Raw genomic sequence first — 16,569 nt, forward strand, 5'->3', positions numbered from 1 at the left:
ACCCAGGGTGTCTACAAAAAAACCCCTCTAATTGCTCCTAGTTCTCTCTTTATTCTACCCTACTACATCTATAAATGCCTCCTTCTGTTCTCCATCCCTACCTTTTCTTTTGTTCCTCTTCTCTCTTTCTCCTTTCCATTTCCTCATCTAGGTCTTATACCTATCTGGGGTTCTCATTTATGTACTGAGAACCGTCAGAGTGACTCAGGGTTCCTCAAGCTCTACACTATTGACATTTGGGGCTGGATAATTCTTCATGGTAGGAGGCTTCTCTGTGCACGCTAAGATGTTTAACAGCATCCTTGGCCTTTATCCAACAGATTTCAAAGTCTTCAGACCTTGCCAAATGTCCCCTACAGGGAGCAAATTCTTCCCAGCTGGAAATCACTAGAATGGCACATCTGCCTCTATTCCTTAGTACCTTTGTGATTTGGGGTTAAGAAGGGATATCATGATTTCGAGGGAGGAAGCAGAGAAGGAATTATCTCAAAGTAGGTGGCCTCAGAAAGGACCCTTATCAAATAAGCAGGTAGAGTCCAATTCTTATGTTAATTCTTGTTCATTTGGCAACCTCAAGAATATCCTAAATCTGCAAGTGCAATGCATTTTGCTTGTAAAACATATTAGTTACAGGTTACATCAATGCTATTAGGATGGAGGGGCCTTTGAATTTTGACCTCAGAGATGGTGTAGGCAGGAATTTTCAACAGGCTATAAATATCTAACACATTCTTGTATAACCCATAATACCTTGTTAGGTTAACATGAGGTGTCATTTTTGAGCTTCAGTGCTTTGTTGGCAATTCACTATGCATTTGGAAAAGGAAGAAACCAAAGCAATGAAATGCTTAAGTGGCGAGAAACTGCCACATGGCTCACTAATAAGGTGTCTTGGGCACGTGTACACCTTTCTAAATGCTGCTTTTCTCTTGAGATTTTTCTGGTCTTAGAAAACAGTCAGCTAAAACCCTAGCTGCAAATTAGTGAGCTGACAGGAATTTCTCAAGTTTTCAAACATACTGGTATTAATTTATTCTCTTCACAGTTAATCCTCCAAGCATATTTAATGTCATCTCATAGACAAGAAACTTCATTAACAGGCATTTAAGGCATTTCGTCGTTCATGTTTCTTTTTCACCTATAACACTCCTTACTCCCACCGGGACAAACTAGGGAATTCTGATGTAATCAGTTTCTGCACTAAGAAATAAAAGATTTAGTATTAAATTTCCTGCCAGTCACTTTCTACATAAAAATTAATAGCACCTATATCCCATGTGTTTTATAATACACACACCTAGAAAAAAATACGGAAATCAATCCATATCTTTTCAGCCTCTCAATGGCATTTGACACTGTCCATTACTCCTTCCTCTCTGAAATACATTTCACTCTTGGCTTTCGTGATACCACCTTCTCCTTGATTTCCAGCTTCCCTGCTGCTTATCTCAGTTTCCATGATTCTTCTTGACCAGTTGCTGTCTTGAACCTGCACTCTTCTTGACTCATGAATAAACATAGATAGAACAGTGGGCCCTCCTCTTTAACTGAACTCCTCCCTAAGTGATCTCCTCCGGCCTTGTAGTTTTAAGCACCATTCATCCATTTGCTGATGACTCCAAAATTTCTATCTCTGGGCCTGAATTTTTTAATGAGGTTTAATATTCGTATACCCAACTGCCTACTCACCAACCCCCTTGGATCTAACAGGCATATCAAAACTAATACGGCTAACACAGAACTCTATTTCCTATGCCTCCAACTCATTCCTCCTTTGATGATCTTGGCCAAACATGAAAGTTTATCTCTCCCAGCTTCGTGCTTCAACCAGTTCTCCTTGCCCTGCTCAGGAAATTCCTCATTAGCTTCTCCCTGTGCTCTGGCCACGTTAGTTCTAACACAGTCTCTTTTTCTTTCCTGTTTAATGAGCAAATTCTGGGCTTCTTGGATCTTTTTTGTTCCAACCATTCCTTCATGCTCAAAGTCCCCTGATTTTTATCACTCTTCTTGCGCCTTCCTTGTCCTAAGGAAGGATATGGGAAAAGGTGACACCTCTGACACTCATCCCTGATCACTGCATTCGTTATCCTAGATGTTCAGCACACAAAACCTTTTGATGTGGCATTTATAATGCAGCAGTTTTGACACCAAGATTTGACTTGACTGTAAGTAAACAAAATAATGCAGCAATATTTTGACATAGAAAAATATCATTAATCCTTCTGAGTGTTATTACCAAACAATACATGCAATACATAACTCACTCATATTGTAGTATCTTATCCATCCGTTGATCTCCATGAATAGTTACAGATAGGGCATAAAAAAATATGGTACAAAATACCCACAATTTTAACTCTCACACCAAAAATGACTACATCGTATAAGCCAGGAATAATAAATAAAAGTAGTTTCATAAACCTAGCTAGGATAAATCTAACATATTTTGATAAAGTTTTAAAGGTTCAAAATGTCCAAGAGGAAAAAGTATAAACTCTTAAAGACAATATCCTCATAGTCTTATAACTACTACTGCCAATTGTTAGAGATCAGCTCTTACCTTTAAAAGGACTATGCTTTTTTTATTTTAATTTTTATTTTAAGTTCTTGGGTACATGTGCAGGATATGCAGGTTTGTTACATAGGTAAACATGTGCCATGGTGGTTTGCTGCACCCATCAACCCATACCCTAGGTATTAAAACCAGCATGTATTAGCTATTATTCCTAATGCTCTCCTTCTTCCCACCCTTACAACAGGCCCTAGTGTGTGTTGTTCCCCTCTCTGTGTCCATGTGTTCTCATTGTTTAGCTACCACTTGTAAGTGACAACATGTGGTGTTTGGTTGTCTGTTCTTGCATAAGTTTGCTGAGGATAATGGCTTCCGGCTCCATCCATGTCAGTGCAAAGAACGTGATCTCATTCCTTTTTATGGCTGCATAGTATTCCATAGTATATATGTACCACACTTTCTTTATCCAGTCTATCGTTGATGGGCATTTGGGTTGATTCCATGTCTTTGCTATTGTGAAAGCACTATGCTTTTTAAAATAAAATTTACACCAAGATAGTGGCTCTGGGTAAATATGCAAATAGTCACTCTGATGAAAGTTGTGCTCTATCTAAAAAATTTGGTGGAAATTTGTCTTCTAGTGTTTGGTAAAAACAGTCTAGAAGAAGTTCATTTTGTTTTGTTTTTAATGTAAACATATCCTAAGTGACTTTTCTTCCTTTCAAGGCCAGACAGATGGAAGAAAGAACTCTGGAAGTGTGGGATACGTTGTTTGAGAAATAAATACACAAATAAGAACACAAAGGCCATTCCTGTCATTAAGGCTGAAGATATGCTGCTTCAGCCAAGGACAGAGGGTATCATTGGTAGGGGGAATACCTAGAAGGCTACAAGATATAGGTTTTTCTTTAAATTATTGTGTTTTCTATTTATGTTAAAGGATGTTAAATTGGAAATTTCAGGCATGGGAAAATAGACACAAAAATCCAAAGTGAAGTGCTAAACCAGGATTTTCACATTTATAAATTTAGGCATAGTTATATTCCTCCCCACATGGAAGTATGAAGGGTTTGAAGAGATTTATTTGGAGAGAATTGTTGGCATGCTGTGATTCCCACATACCTTTCCTCTTAACAGGGCAGGGTAAGGAGCCTTCAGATAAAAGGGCTTTAATGAGACCAGTCAAAGAGCTTTGTTTGGGCTCCTTGCAGTCGGGAGTAATACTGTGTACTAGGATCTACATCATGTCTGAGAAATCTAATGCATAAGAGGATGGCTGAAGAGATCTGTGCATCACAAGTGGGATGGGGAAGTTGGAAAGAAACTGCACCCCCAAAGTCTGCTGGGATAAAGAATAACTGAGTGTTCTCCTACAGACTTTATATGGGCCATAGAGAGATGCAGACTGGGTTTATTAGATTGTCCAAAAGACCCAGGATGAACCACTCAGATTACATTTTAAAACTGTTGCTTGATGGTTGTAGGAAGCATGTAATTCTCTTTTTCAGGAGATGATGGAAAAAAACATAGTCCTGGTTGCTAATGGCAGTCATCTTGGACCACAAAGTCATCTAGCCCAGAGGTAAAATTGACAGGAAGAGGAGAACAAAGTAGAAGGACCAGCAGGAAAGTGGAGTGTGAGCCATGACCAAATGGGATGAGAAATCCACCTTGATCTGGACTTTTTGCTTATGTGAACCAAGAGACCCTTTCCTTGCTAAGCTAGTTTCAGCTGAGTTTTCTGGTATTTGTTACTGAAAGCACTCAATTTTATAATCTTTTCTAAATGATCTAGGAGAAAATCCACAGTCTAAATTTGTGCTAGACTAGGCTGGTCCAAAATCAGGAAAATGCAAAAGAATCAGAATACCATTTTCACTAGATTCTTAGAATGAACTCTATCCCTAGGGAAGATGTGAACTCTAAATCAAAATAAGACATTAATTGAAAGATGGACTTCATTTGGCCAGAAGGTAAGAAACAAGGAGAGTCAATTATTTGTTACCTGGTAATGAACTCTCTGGGAGCCAGAAGAAACTGACTGTAGGTCCTAATGAGAAAATGAAAAAAAAAATCCATACCTTAAAATTAGTTTGAACAAGCTGCCCCACAACTCAATCTCAACTGAACTCCCAATTTAATATTACTATGCTCATCTGGAAAGTATCGAACACACCCAAATTCATAAAGGTTAAATAAAGAAGGTAATGCCAGAAATAATAAAATCAAACCAAGCTGGACTGAGAGAAGGTCATTAAGCTGTTGAAACCTATAAGTCCTACATAGTGTTTAAAGTAAGTGTTATATTATTATTTCAATCTCCTATAGAGGAGACCAGAAGTAAAAGACAGGCAATTTTGTTCTGATAAATGGGGATTATATTTAATGTGCATATAAACTTTTGGCTTGTGAAGAAGGCTTTGGAAATCCCTTTAAACACTTAGAAAGCTTTTCTTTACCTCAGACCAGATACATACTGTCATGGTAACTGTTTATACTGATAAGTCGCTTAGCAAATAGGGGTTTTCATAGACTACAAAGAGAAAATCACCAACCACCTCCACATTATCACAAAGTGCAAATTAACAGGGTTGAAATTAATGAGGTTTTACTGGCAGATTGTGAAAGCCTGACTCCTTTCATAAAGTTTTATAACGAACTTGTCACCATTGTCATGCCTCCTAGGCTTCCTTGCTAATGAGTGTAGTGATTCTATTCACAGATGTCAGCAATCCTGGGTACCTTTGTCCTTACACCTGTTTCCCACAGGGTTTCATCACATTACTTTCCATTAGTTTTAAAAATTTTTCCTCTTTATTTGTTGAGTTGCCTCTTTTTTAAAAATCCTACTTTTAGTTGAATATTGGTGCATTAAGCATGCTATTAAGTTAGTTAAGTTGGTTTTTAACAAAGTCAATTCATCAATCGTGTATTAATATTATTCTACTGTGAAGTCTTGTTAACAAAGCTCTACATGTGTTAATTTTAAAAAAAGGTAAAAAGGTTTGGTACCAATTATGATTCATTTTTTTCATTACAGGTTTCTGGAGTGAGATTCCACAGCAAAATACAAACATTATTTTGGGAAATGAGATACTAGAAGTTTGGGAACATATTAACAGAATTGGACCTGAGTCACTAAAAATTCACGTATTTTAACTTGTTTAAGCAGCTATCCTCAGTCAAAATAGCTTAATGAAGCCGTAAGTGTAAAATTTGTTGACCATCTTTCTCTCATCCACATCAGTATTCAATATTTGTCATCTATTTCTCAAAATCAGTAATTTTTCACATCACTATGTGCCTCTCCCCTGAATTTATTTCTACCAAGAGAAACAGAATCAAATATTCAGGGTGAAGTGGTTACAACTCAGAGGGATTTTAAACAGTATGTGTCTACTTTATTTACAATATTTACCTATGTATAACATGTTGTCTGGGACAGAATTGCTTATCAAGGGGTATCAAGACAACCCAACAGCTTTAAAAATACAAATGTCTAGGCCACACCCAAGAAAAGTGACTCTAATATACATCTTTCATCAAAAAAAATGATAAAGAAATCGTCATATATGCTTTTTGCAATTTGTGGAATGGAGACGGTTAAGACTCCCCCTCAAATTTTTGCAAAAACAACCAACAACAATTGTAATGATGAGTTTGGGTCTCCTGGCTTTGCTGGTGCAGTTCACATTTATGGGAGTGCCATATACGGGGTCACTTCCTTTCTGTTTCTCTAAAGCAAGACTAGATTGAGAAAAAAAAATAGATTATTCTTTTGTGTTCTGACAAATTCCTATGAGATGTAGAGGATTTTTCTTTCCCATAGAAGTTTTATTTATTTTTTTGTTTACAAAATCTAGCTGTCTCTGACATAAGTGTCAGACACAAAACATTAAATATCACTGTTTTCTTTCATTATTTATCAGTCCCTGTTGAAATTCTGAACATCTCAAATATACAGGTATGTGTCTGGTAAAATGACAAGTTCCAAGCTATAGTTATGGAACACACCAGGGCAACAGCACCCTGTAGTCAATGCTTTCCCATTTCAACCATCTGAGGAGTGAACAACAGAGACAGTGGGAGAGGGTGACATACAGCGTATGCTTGAAGGACAAAGCCACCACATTTCCACTTCCTCTCCAAATGCATCATTTCAGAAGCAAATATATATGGCTGGTAATTGTTTACAAAAATGGAAAGTTGAGGAGAATAAAAAATTGGCTAAATAAACTCACCTCCTGTAGGCGGTCTATGTACATACGGCAAGTCTCCAAATCACAGTCTCCACGCACAACTAGAATACCCAGAGGTATCGCTAAGGGTGAAGGAAGAAGAAAAATCTAAAATAACATATTTGATTTTTCTATATCAGCATAAATGTGTTTCTCGTGGTTAAAAAACAATCTCATAAATATTATGGGTTTTTTAGATATGTCCGTAAAAAGAAAGAAGTACTTTCTCCCTACACCTTTTTTATTATTTCAGTCTCTTCTTGTTTGCAGTTGTCACACACTTTCCTAGCATGATCCATGTTGCCCCTTGCCACCTGCCCCTCATCTCATTGTGTTTCACTGGCCCTGAGATGAAGTGAATTGTCGCAGTAACGATGGATTGGCAGAACAGGGAGGCTGCTCATGGACAGTTGATAATTATGCTTGCATTTTTTATGCTTATGCCTAAATTTATGCTTGCATTTGCAATAGACAACATGAGGATGCAGTGCCGGGGGAATTAAACATTGAGGATTCTGGACACTTACTCCTTCCTTCCTGAATGCAGACAACTTCATCTTTTTGTCTGTCTACAACAGTTTCCTATTTATGAGACTTGAGCTACTCAAGGCACTGTTGCTACCTGGTGGCCAATATCAGAACTAAAGGCATAAAATGTTAGAAAGAAAAGAACAAAAAACAGCTTCTAGAAGAGGCAAAGCTTAAAAAATCCAACTAATTTTAAGGATGGCCAATGTAAGAGTGGTAACAGTAGGACCTCAGAAAACAATAAGACAAGACTAAGTTATGCACCTTATAAAATATCCTACTTAGGTAGTGTCAAACACACACAGTGGCTTTAGTGTATAGAACCTACTTCAGATAGAATCACAAGAGTCCTGAAATACTGAAAAATAGTCTTCTTTCCAAAACTTAAAAAAAAATCTACAAATTTCTCATTTTAAAAGTACAATTACACGATTAAATCCATGATCTAACATAAAACCTTCAAAATTTTGAATTAACCAACTGGTAAGTAGCAAGCAAATGATAAGACAGTGGTGTTCTCTAAGAATTTTTTACAATCGTTCACTCATTGAGTGTATATTTAAAGCCATCATCCATAAATCTGTCTGAAAATACAAAGTACTAGGGCCTTAAAAATTCATAATACACAGAAGAAGATTTAAAATGCATAAAAAACCTTGAAGAATCTCCACGTAGTAGAGAAGGCATATATATAAACAAAAAAATGATAAGTATAACACAGGCCGTATTAAATGTATTAACTTAGTCATTTGAAAACTATAGGAAAGAGGGGCTAATTCTTGCCTGGGTGAAGGGGTAGATTTTAGGCTCTCTGAAGAACATGAAGCCTCACTTGACGTTTTAGCTAGAGGAGTAAAGGTGGTCTAGAGAAAAAGAAATAGAGTTTGTATCTCAATGTTACCTCCTAGATTGGTTTCTGCTAGGGAGACCTAATCAATCCCACCACCCCATTCCCTTATGTTTCTAAAGTCCTGCATACATAAATCTTTAAGGCATCCATGATTTTGTGGAACTATGGAAGCCTGTGAGTGAGTGTGGATTGTTTACCTTCACTTCCCCAATGCCTAGTAAAGAAATGGTAGATATTCAATAAATGAGTATAAAAAGAGGGAGGAAGATGGGCTTAACGACTGTTTGGATGCAAAAGAGAAAGTCTGTCTTTCAGGTGCAAGTCACCTGTCCAGGGTAGACAAGAAACAAGGTAAGCAAAAGACAGTCAGTAGAGGATAAGGAGCACTTGTAACTGTCATATCTTTGGGGGAGTAATAATCATTCTAAAAGAATATTTCTCCTCCTTTTAAAAGATAAACAGAAACATCAAAAAGTTTTCAGCATGGCAATCATGCATCTTTGCAGGAAATGGAAGGGAAATTCAATAAGGAGATCTCCTAAAAATAGTGATTAGAGTAATCATCTTCAGCTAGACCTACTATAAAGATGGAAATAAGTTGATCCACCAAGATAAGAGCAGAATAGAATTTCTAATATTTGAGGAATGATGAGGAAAAGTTGGAATTTTGACATAGATAATAAATCTGGAAGTGGAATATAGCTATAATTAACATAAGCATCCACATTGGAATCTTGCTTAATATTTCCTTTTAATATTAAATGTGCAAAAATAGAAAATAGATTTTAATCAATGTTTATCCATTTACTTAAGTTAGGAGATATATTTTATACATACGCAGGAATCCCATCAACACCTCTGATTTCCTTCTATTATCAGTGTTTGGAGTTAGTCTGGTCCAAGTATAAATTCAATGTACTTCATAGCAGACATTTTAAACTACAATTAGAGATTGTATATTCAAGATATGGAATCAAGAGGAATAGCTAAAAAGAAGTTTTCAAACATGTGTCATTCATCTCTAATATGGGTATAAAATCAACAACTTTGCCTGTTCTTCAAGGAGCAAAGTAAGAGTAACTGCTTTTGATTGAGCAATACTTAGCTGTTAATTGCGAGGAGAAAAGAAAGAAAAAAGGGCATTCTCTACCACAATTTTATAACACGATTACCAACAACTGTCAAATTTATTCCAAGAAGGTGGCAATATGCAGTAGAAAGGATTTGCAGTCATCCACTGCTGGGTTTAAATCCCAGTATTGCTTTGGTCTTGCAAATTACTCAACTTAGCTACTTAGTCAATTCTTCTGAGCCTTGGTTTAAAGACTACGGTGTTTAGAATAGATGTCATACAGGATTTTTGTAAAGACTCAATACAACACTATATTTAAAAATAAATTATCAAAACATCAATTTTTATTCTCCCTTACTCTTTTCACTATCTTTTGAGCATCTTTAGCCAGAAAACAGACATACCCAATCATCTATCTTTTAATTTAGCATAGTACTACAAGGATTAGCTAGCAGTAGTTTCGTAAGTTATATGCCAGTTTTCTAAAAACTAACTTCTACTCTTCCTGCCATGTAAAAAAACAACGTAGTAGAAAAATATTGTAATCTGACACTTCCATTTGGGCCTTTACATGGCGAAGAAAAAGCAGAAACTTTTCAAAAATTACCACCTTCCTTCTACACTATGGTTAACCAACTGCCAAGCTTCCTTGACATTTCCTCTATTTTACTTAGGAGTAGTGAGAGCACTTATCACCTGAGCACCAGTGTCACTATCCCTGAGCTCAACAATTCATCTTATTTTGGTAGCAGAGACTTTGTTTAAGTCCAGGAAGCATGAGTTAATACTCAACCTTCACAATGGAACTTTTATTGCAGGGATTAAATGGAATTCACAAGTTCTAACTAAGTGAAAAGAACAAGCTGTGTTCCAGAATAAGATGGCATATTTCATGCACATATTAATCTCTCACCAGAAATACTACTAACCTACAATAAATAGATTTTTAAAAGAAATCAACAAAAATAAGGATAAAATAACAGATGAAGTAGATGAAAAATTGGCAACTGACTCAGAGCCCTTAGAGAGTCAAATCCTAAACCACTAGTGGGTATAGACATGAACCAAAATAATTTCTACTGCAAAACCCTCAAAAGGCTTGCAAACTGGCAGTACCGGGTGCCTCAGGAGCTGAGGTTAAAGGAGGTGGTTAAGATAGAAGCACTGGATGTTAGATCACCAGATATCCACCACCCATTGTGGAAAGGCACAGTTACCTTACAGAAAATGAAGATTAATTGATCATCTGAAGACTGCAGTGATCCCCAGTTTTCTTCCCACCCTGAATTCCCCAAAAGCTGGCAGCCAGAACCTTACTTTCTAGGAAAAACATTGGAAAACTCATCTCAATGGAATCTGACAAAACCATGAGGAAATATATTAACATGAGAACAGGCCCACTACCAACATTTATAAGGCTCAAGGCAAGAACATAAAGACCTGCATTCCATATTTCTAGATATTTATAAGTTTAATGTTAATCCCCAAAACTGTTAAATGAAATATGTTCTATCTTCCTATCCTGATAAATATTCCTTTGTAGTTACCTAAATGAGATGCTGAAACTCATAATTCTTGTACTCCAAGGAGTATTAGAACAAAACATAGTGCTTGTGGTCCATAGTTAGACCTCCTTCTCTTTCCACTCCATGGATGTTCAAAACATGAAAGAACTTGTGCTTATGTATACAGATACTACAGACCACATCCCCAAACTTTCTCCAAAGCCCATGCAAACTGCTGCCCCAAAGGGCCTTCCTTAGTCCTATGCCCACTCTACATGACTCCTGTGAGACTAGACCAGAAGAAGAGGCCTACGCAGATCCTAGAAGCAGGTCTGGAGCTGTTGGGGCAGGAATTCTAAGAATCCAAAGCACAGTCTAGAAAAGGGTAGAGAAATCCCTAGATGAGCCCTTTTCCTTAGCACTTTAGACAAATCATCCCATGAAGCAGGGCAAAGCCAGAAATGGGACATATCTAGGACATCGAAAGCTGAAGCACCTCTTCCATAGGTCTAAAGACAGCACTGATTCATCATTCCCAAGAAACAGTTCACTCAGTTCCCCCACATCGAAGCTTGAAGTCAATAAGCTTTATGCATGAGCTCAGAACTTCCAGGCAGCTTTTATGTTTCCCACTTTTAATAATGAAGAGAAAGGCAAAAGTGATCAGAAAATTGAGAAATTTTTCTAATGCAGAAGCCAAAGATCAAAATAAACAGGATCCTCCAGGCAAGATAGCTGAACAGACACAGCCAGAAGGAACATCTGCCATCGAGAGACCAGGACATCAGGAAGACTGGCACACTCTAAGCAGATCTTCAGAAGGAAGGTATTGAGAATGGCTAGAGAAAGGACACAGATGCTGGGTTTAAGGGGGAGGAAGCTGGAAACCCTGCAGGGGCTACCATTCATCAGTTCCTGGCCCTCAGTAACCCCTGGGGTAGTGGTGAGTTGAGCAGGGAAGGAATGACATACTCTCACCATGGACTTATAGAATCCTGGCAGGAGGAGACCACAAGACCCCCACAGAAACTTAAGCTGGAAGGGATAGTTGCTTAGAGAGGTGGTAAGGGCAGGGCTCCAGCCAGTGTGGAGCCCAGAGGGTTTGGTGCAGCAATGTCCACAGTGAAGCATGACCAGGGATACCCATCCCCAAGGCGTCCCATGCTCCCCTAGGAAACTTTAGCCTTAGGCAAACTGTCAGACCTGAACAGAGCAGGGCCAGTCTGACCTGAGTGACCCCTGTATGCTGGCATCTCCTGCTTGCAGTGCAGCCGCAGATGCCTAACTGGGGTGTCTCCCAGGGACATGCATAATAGCTCCTGCGCTGGCTGACTGTGCCTGACAATCAAATAGCTCCAGCCCAGTGGCCTCTGCCAAGGCACATCAGCCCACCCGCACCCTCCCACCACTGCAGCATCCTCTGTACCACTTTGCTGGCATGCACTCATCCAAGGCCACCCCCATACCATTTTGCCAGTGTGTGTGTGCCAGCAGACCTTGCCTACCCTTCCCTGCTGGGACGTATCTACGACCCACTGTGCCACTGCTGCCAGCATGAGCGCAACCTGCCCCCATCCACCCAGCTGTACCACCACTGTTAGCACCAGTACTCAAATGAAGATCAGTAGCCCCACTCCCTGCCCTATGTTGCCATTGCCTCCAGTGTGAATGCACACATGGAGACCACCAGCCCCACACCCGCCAGTGCCCCATCGCACCCACTATTACTGCCACTTGCAAATGCCTGTATGGAGGCTGGAAGCCCCTGGCTCACCAGGGCCCCACTCCAGCTGATGAGCATGCATGTCATCACACTGCTGTTGCTTCTGGCATGTACAAATGAGCACAGATCTTACTTCCACCACCCAGTGAAGCTCTTTGGCTGTCACTGCCCATCAAGGCAACAGGTTCCTAACCCTGAGGAGCCAGAGATGAAAGCAGGGGGCCCAAAATGAGCCCACCAGAGTTAAAGCACACAGCTCAGGAGTGTTGAGCTGAGCATTGGCCCCCTAAAATATTCCAGAAATGAAGCCAGTTGACCAAACCCACCTTATACCATAATCAAACACCCAACAACACCAAAGAAAATGAAAGCAAACAAAAACCAAAAAAACATCTAAAAGATAGCAACTTCAAAGACTGAAGGAAAATCAGCCCACAAAGATGAAAAAGAACCAGCGCGAGAACTCTGGCAACTCAAAAAGCCAGAGAGTCTTCTTACCTCCAAATGACTGCACTAGTTCCCCAGCAATGGTTCTTAACCAGTCTGAAATAGCTGAAATGACAGAAATAGAATCAGAATATGGACAGGAATGAAGATCATCGAGATTCAGGAGAAAGTTAACACCCAATCCAAAAATTCTAAAGAATACAATAAAATGATACAGCAGATGAAAGATGAAATGACCATTTTAAGAAATAACTAAATTGAGATGCTAGAGCTAAAAAACTCAAGAATTTCAGAATACAACTGCAAGTTATTAACAGCAGAATTGACCAGCTGAGGAATCTCAGAGCATGAAGACCAGTCCTCCAGAATAACTCAGACAAATATGAAGCAAAAAAAAATGAAGAAGAATGAACAAAATGTCTGAGAAATATGGGATTATTTAAAGAGACCAAGTCTATGACTTATCAGCATCCCTGAAAGAGAAAAAGAGAAAGCAAGCAACTTGGAAAACACATTTCAGGACACCATCCATGAAAATTTCCCCAACCTTGGTAGAGAGGCCAACGTTCAAATTCAGGAAATGAAGAGAAACCCTGTGAAATATTACACAAGAAGATCATCACCAAGACACACAGTCATCAGATTCTCCAAGGAAAAAATGAAAGGAAGAAAGTTTAAGGAAGCTAGAAAGAAGGGGCAGGTCACCTACAAAGGAAACCCCATCAGGCTAACAGCTGACCTTAGAACAGAAACCCTACAAGACAGAAGAGATTAGGGGCCTATATTCAGCATTCTTAAAGAAAAGAATTTCAAACCAAGAATTCTATATTTAGCCAAACTACACTTCAAAAGCAAAGGAGAAATAAGATCCTTTTCAGAGAAGCAAATGCTAAGAGAATTCATTACCACCAGACCCGCCTTATAAGAGGTCCTGAAGGGAGTGCTAAATATGGAAAGGAAAGGTCATTACTGGCCACTACAAAAACATGCCTAAATACCCAGACCAGTGATACTATAAAGCAATCACACAAACAAATCTGCACAGTAATGAGCTAACAACACAATGACAGGATCAAATCCACACATATTAATGCTAACTTTGAATGTAAATGTGTTAAATGCCCCATTTCAAAGGCACAGAATGGCAAGTTAGATAATGACACAAGACCCAATGGTATGCTGTCTTCAAGAGACCCAGGTCACATGCGATGACACACAAAACATCTACCAAGCAGATAGAAAACAGAAAAAAGCAGGGGTTGCTACCATAATTTCAGACAAAATAGACTTTAAACCATCACAGATCAAAAAAGACAAAGAACAACATTACATAATGGTAGAAAAACAGAGAGAAGATCCAAATAAACACAATCAGAAGTGACACTTCTGACCCCACAGAAATATAAAACACCCTTAAAGACTACTATGAATACCTCTCTGCACACAAGCTAGAAAAACAGGAAAAAGTTGGTAAATTTCTGGAAATACACATCCTCCCAAGATTGAACCGGGAAGAAATTAAGTCCTTGAATAGTCCAATAATGAGTTCCAAAACAGAATCAGTAATAAAAAGCCTACCAACCAGAAAAAGCCCAGGGCTAGACAAATTCACAGCCAAATTCTAGCAGATGTATAAGGAAGAGCTGGTATGATTCCTACTGAAACTATTTAACAAAAAAAAAAAAAGAAAGAAAACTCTGAGGAGGAGAGGCTCATTCCTAACTCACTCGGTGAGGCCAGCACCATCCTGATACCAAAACCTGGCAGAGACAAAAAAAAAAAAAAAAAAAAAAAAAATCCTTCTTTAACATAAATGCAAAAATCCTCAGCAAAATACTAGCAAACCAAATCCAGCAACACATCAGAAAGCTAATCTACCATGGTCAAGTAGGCTTTATCCCTGCGATGCAAGGTGGTTCAACATACACGAATCAATAAATGTGATACATCATATAAATAGAACTAAAGACCAAAACTACATGATCATCTCAACAGATGTAGAAAGGGCTTTTGACAAAATTCAACATCCCTTCATGTTAAAAACCCTCAACAAACTAAGCACTGAAGGAACATGCTTCAAAATAATAAGAGTCATCTATGATAAACCCATAAGCCAACATCATACTGAATGGGTAAAATCTGGAAGCATTCCCCTTAAAAATCAGAACAAGACAAAGATGCTCACTCTCACCACTTCTATTCAACATAGTACTGGAAGTTGTAGCCACAGCAATCAGGCAAGAGAAAGAAATAAAAGGCACCCAAATAGGAAGAGAGGAAATCAAACTATCTGTTTGCAGACAATAAGATTCTATACATAAAGAACCCTAGAGTCTCTGCCCAAAATCTCCTTTTTCTGATAAACAACTTCAGTAAAGTTTCAGGATACAAAATAAATGTACAAAAAATCAGTAGCATTCCTATACACCAACAACATCCAAACTGAGAACAAAATAAAAAACACAATCCTATTCACAATAGCCACAAACAAAATAAAATACCTAGGAATACAGCTAACCAGGGAGATGAAAGATCTCTATAATGACAATTACAAAACACTGCTCAAAGAAATTAGAGATGACACAAACAAATAGAAAAACATTCCATGCTCATGGATAGGAAGAATCAATATCACCAAAATGGCCATACCTCCCAAAGCAATTTACAGACTCAATGCTGTTCCTATCAAACTACCAATGATATTCTTCACAGAATTAGAACAAACTATTTTAAAAATCATATGAACCAAAAAAATCCCAAATAGCCAAGGAAATAATAATAATAAAAAAAAAGCTGGAGGCATCACAATACTCAAAACTATACTACAAGGCTACAGTAACCAAAACAACATGATACTGGTACAAAAACAGACACAGACAAATCAAACAGAATAGAGAGTGCAGAAATAGTGCCACACACCTACAACCATATGATCTTCAACAAAGTCGATAAAAACAAGTAATGGGAAGAGGACTCCCTATTCAATAAATGGTGCTGGAATAACCGACTAGTCATATGCAGAGACTGAAACTGACCCCTCCCTTATACTATATACAAAAATCATCTCAATATGGATTAAAGACTTAAATGTAAAACCTAGACCTATAAAAACCCTGAATGATAACCTAGGAAATATCATTCTGGACATAAGACTTGGCAAAGTTTTCATGACAAAGATACCAAATGCCATTGCAACAACAACAAAAACAACAAAAACTGACAAATAAGACCTAATTAAACTGAAGAGCTTCTGCACAGCAAGAGAAACTATCAACAGAATAAACAGACAACCTACAGAATGGAAGAAAATATTTGCAAATAATGCATCTGACAAACGTGTAATATCCAGCACCTATAAAGAACTTAAACAAATTTACAAAAAAAAAAAAAGTGGGCAAAAGACATGAACAGACATATTTCAAAAGAAGACATATATCCGGCAATCAATCATAGAAAAAAAAGTTCAACATCACTGATCATTAGAGAAATGCAAGTCAAAACCACAATGAGATGCCATCTCACACCAGTCAAATCGCTATTATTAAAAAGTCAAAACATGACAGATGCTGATGAGGTTGTGGAGAAAACGGAGTGCTTATACACTGCTAATGGGAATGTAAATTATTGCAGCCATTGTGGAAAGCAGTTTGGCAATTACTCTAAGAACTCAAACAGAATTAGCACTTGACCCAGC

The 16,569-nt window shown here is 38.2% G+C and overlaps 1 protein-coding gene across 8 annotated transcripts in view, besides 1 other annotated feature; it reads right to left on the bottom strand.

Moving 5' to 3' along the window:
• DGKI (diacylglycerol kinase iota) overlaps positions 1-16,569 on the bottom strand; it is a 465,938-nt gene that overhangs the window by 99,820 nt on the left and 349,549 nt on the right. For 4 of the 8 annotated variants that reach the window (XM_047421021.1, XM_047421020.1, NM_001321710.2 and 1 more), the window contains 3 exons: positions 12,927-12,980; positions 6,754-6,833; positions 4,518-4,562 (listed from right to left, as the gene is read on the bottom strand). In XM_047421021.1, coding sequence (XP_047276977.1) covers positions 4,518-4,562; positions 6,754-6,833; positions 12,927-12,980 — 179 coding nt within the window. The remainder of the gene's footprint in view (positions 1-4,517; positions 4,563-6,753; positions 6,834-12,926; positions 12,981-16,569) is intronic. The other 4 variants (XM_047421022.1, NM_001321708.2, NM_001388092.1 and 1 more) reach the window with 1 other exon arrangement.
• Positions 11,738-12,238: an enhancer, noted in NCBI's record as "H3K4me1 hESC enhancer chr7:137177340-137177840 (GRCh37/hg19 assembly coordinates)". NCBI's record gives its function as "activates a minimal SCP1, AML or CMV promoter by ChIP-STARR-seq in primed H9 embryonic stem cells {active_cell/tissue: H9 hESC(primed)}" and the evidence as "EXISTENCE:reporter gene assay evidence [ECO:0000049][PMID:30033119]".

The sequence above is a fragment of the Homo sapiens genome, chromosome 7 (assembly GCF_000001405.40).
Source record: "Homo sapiens chromosome 7, GRCh38.p14 Primary Assembly".
NCBI lineage: Eukaryota > Metazoa > Chordata > Mammalia > Primates > Hominidae > Homo > Homo sapiens.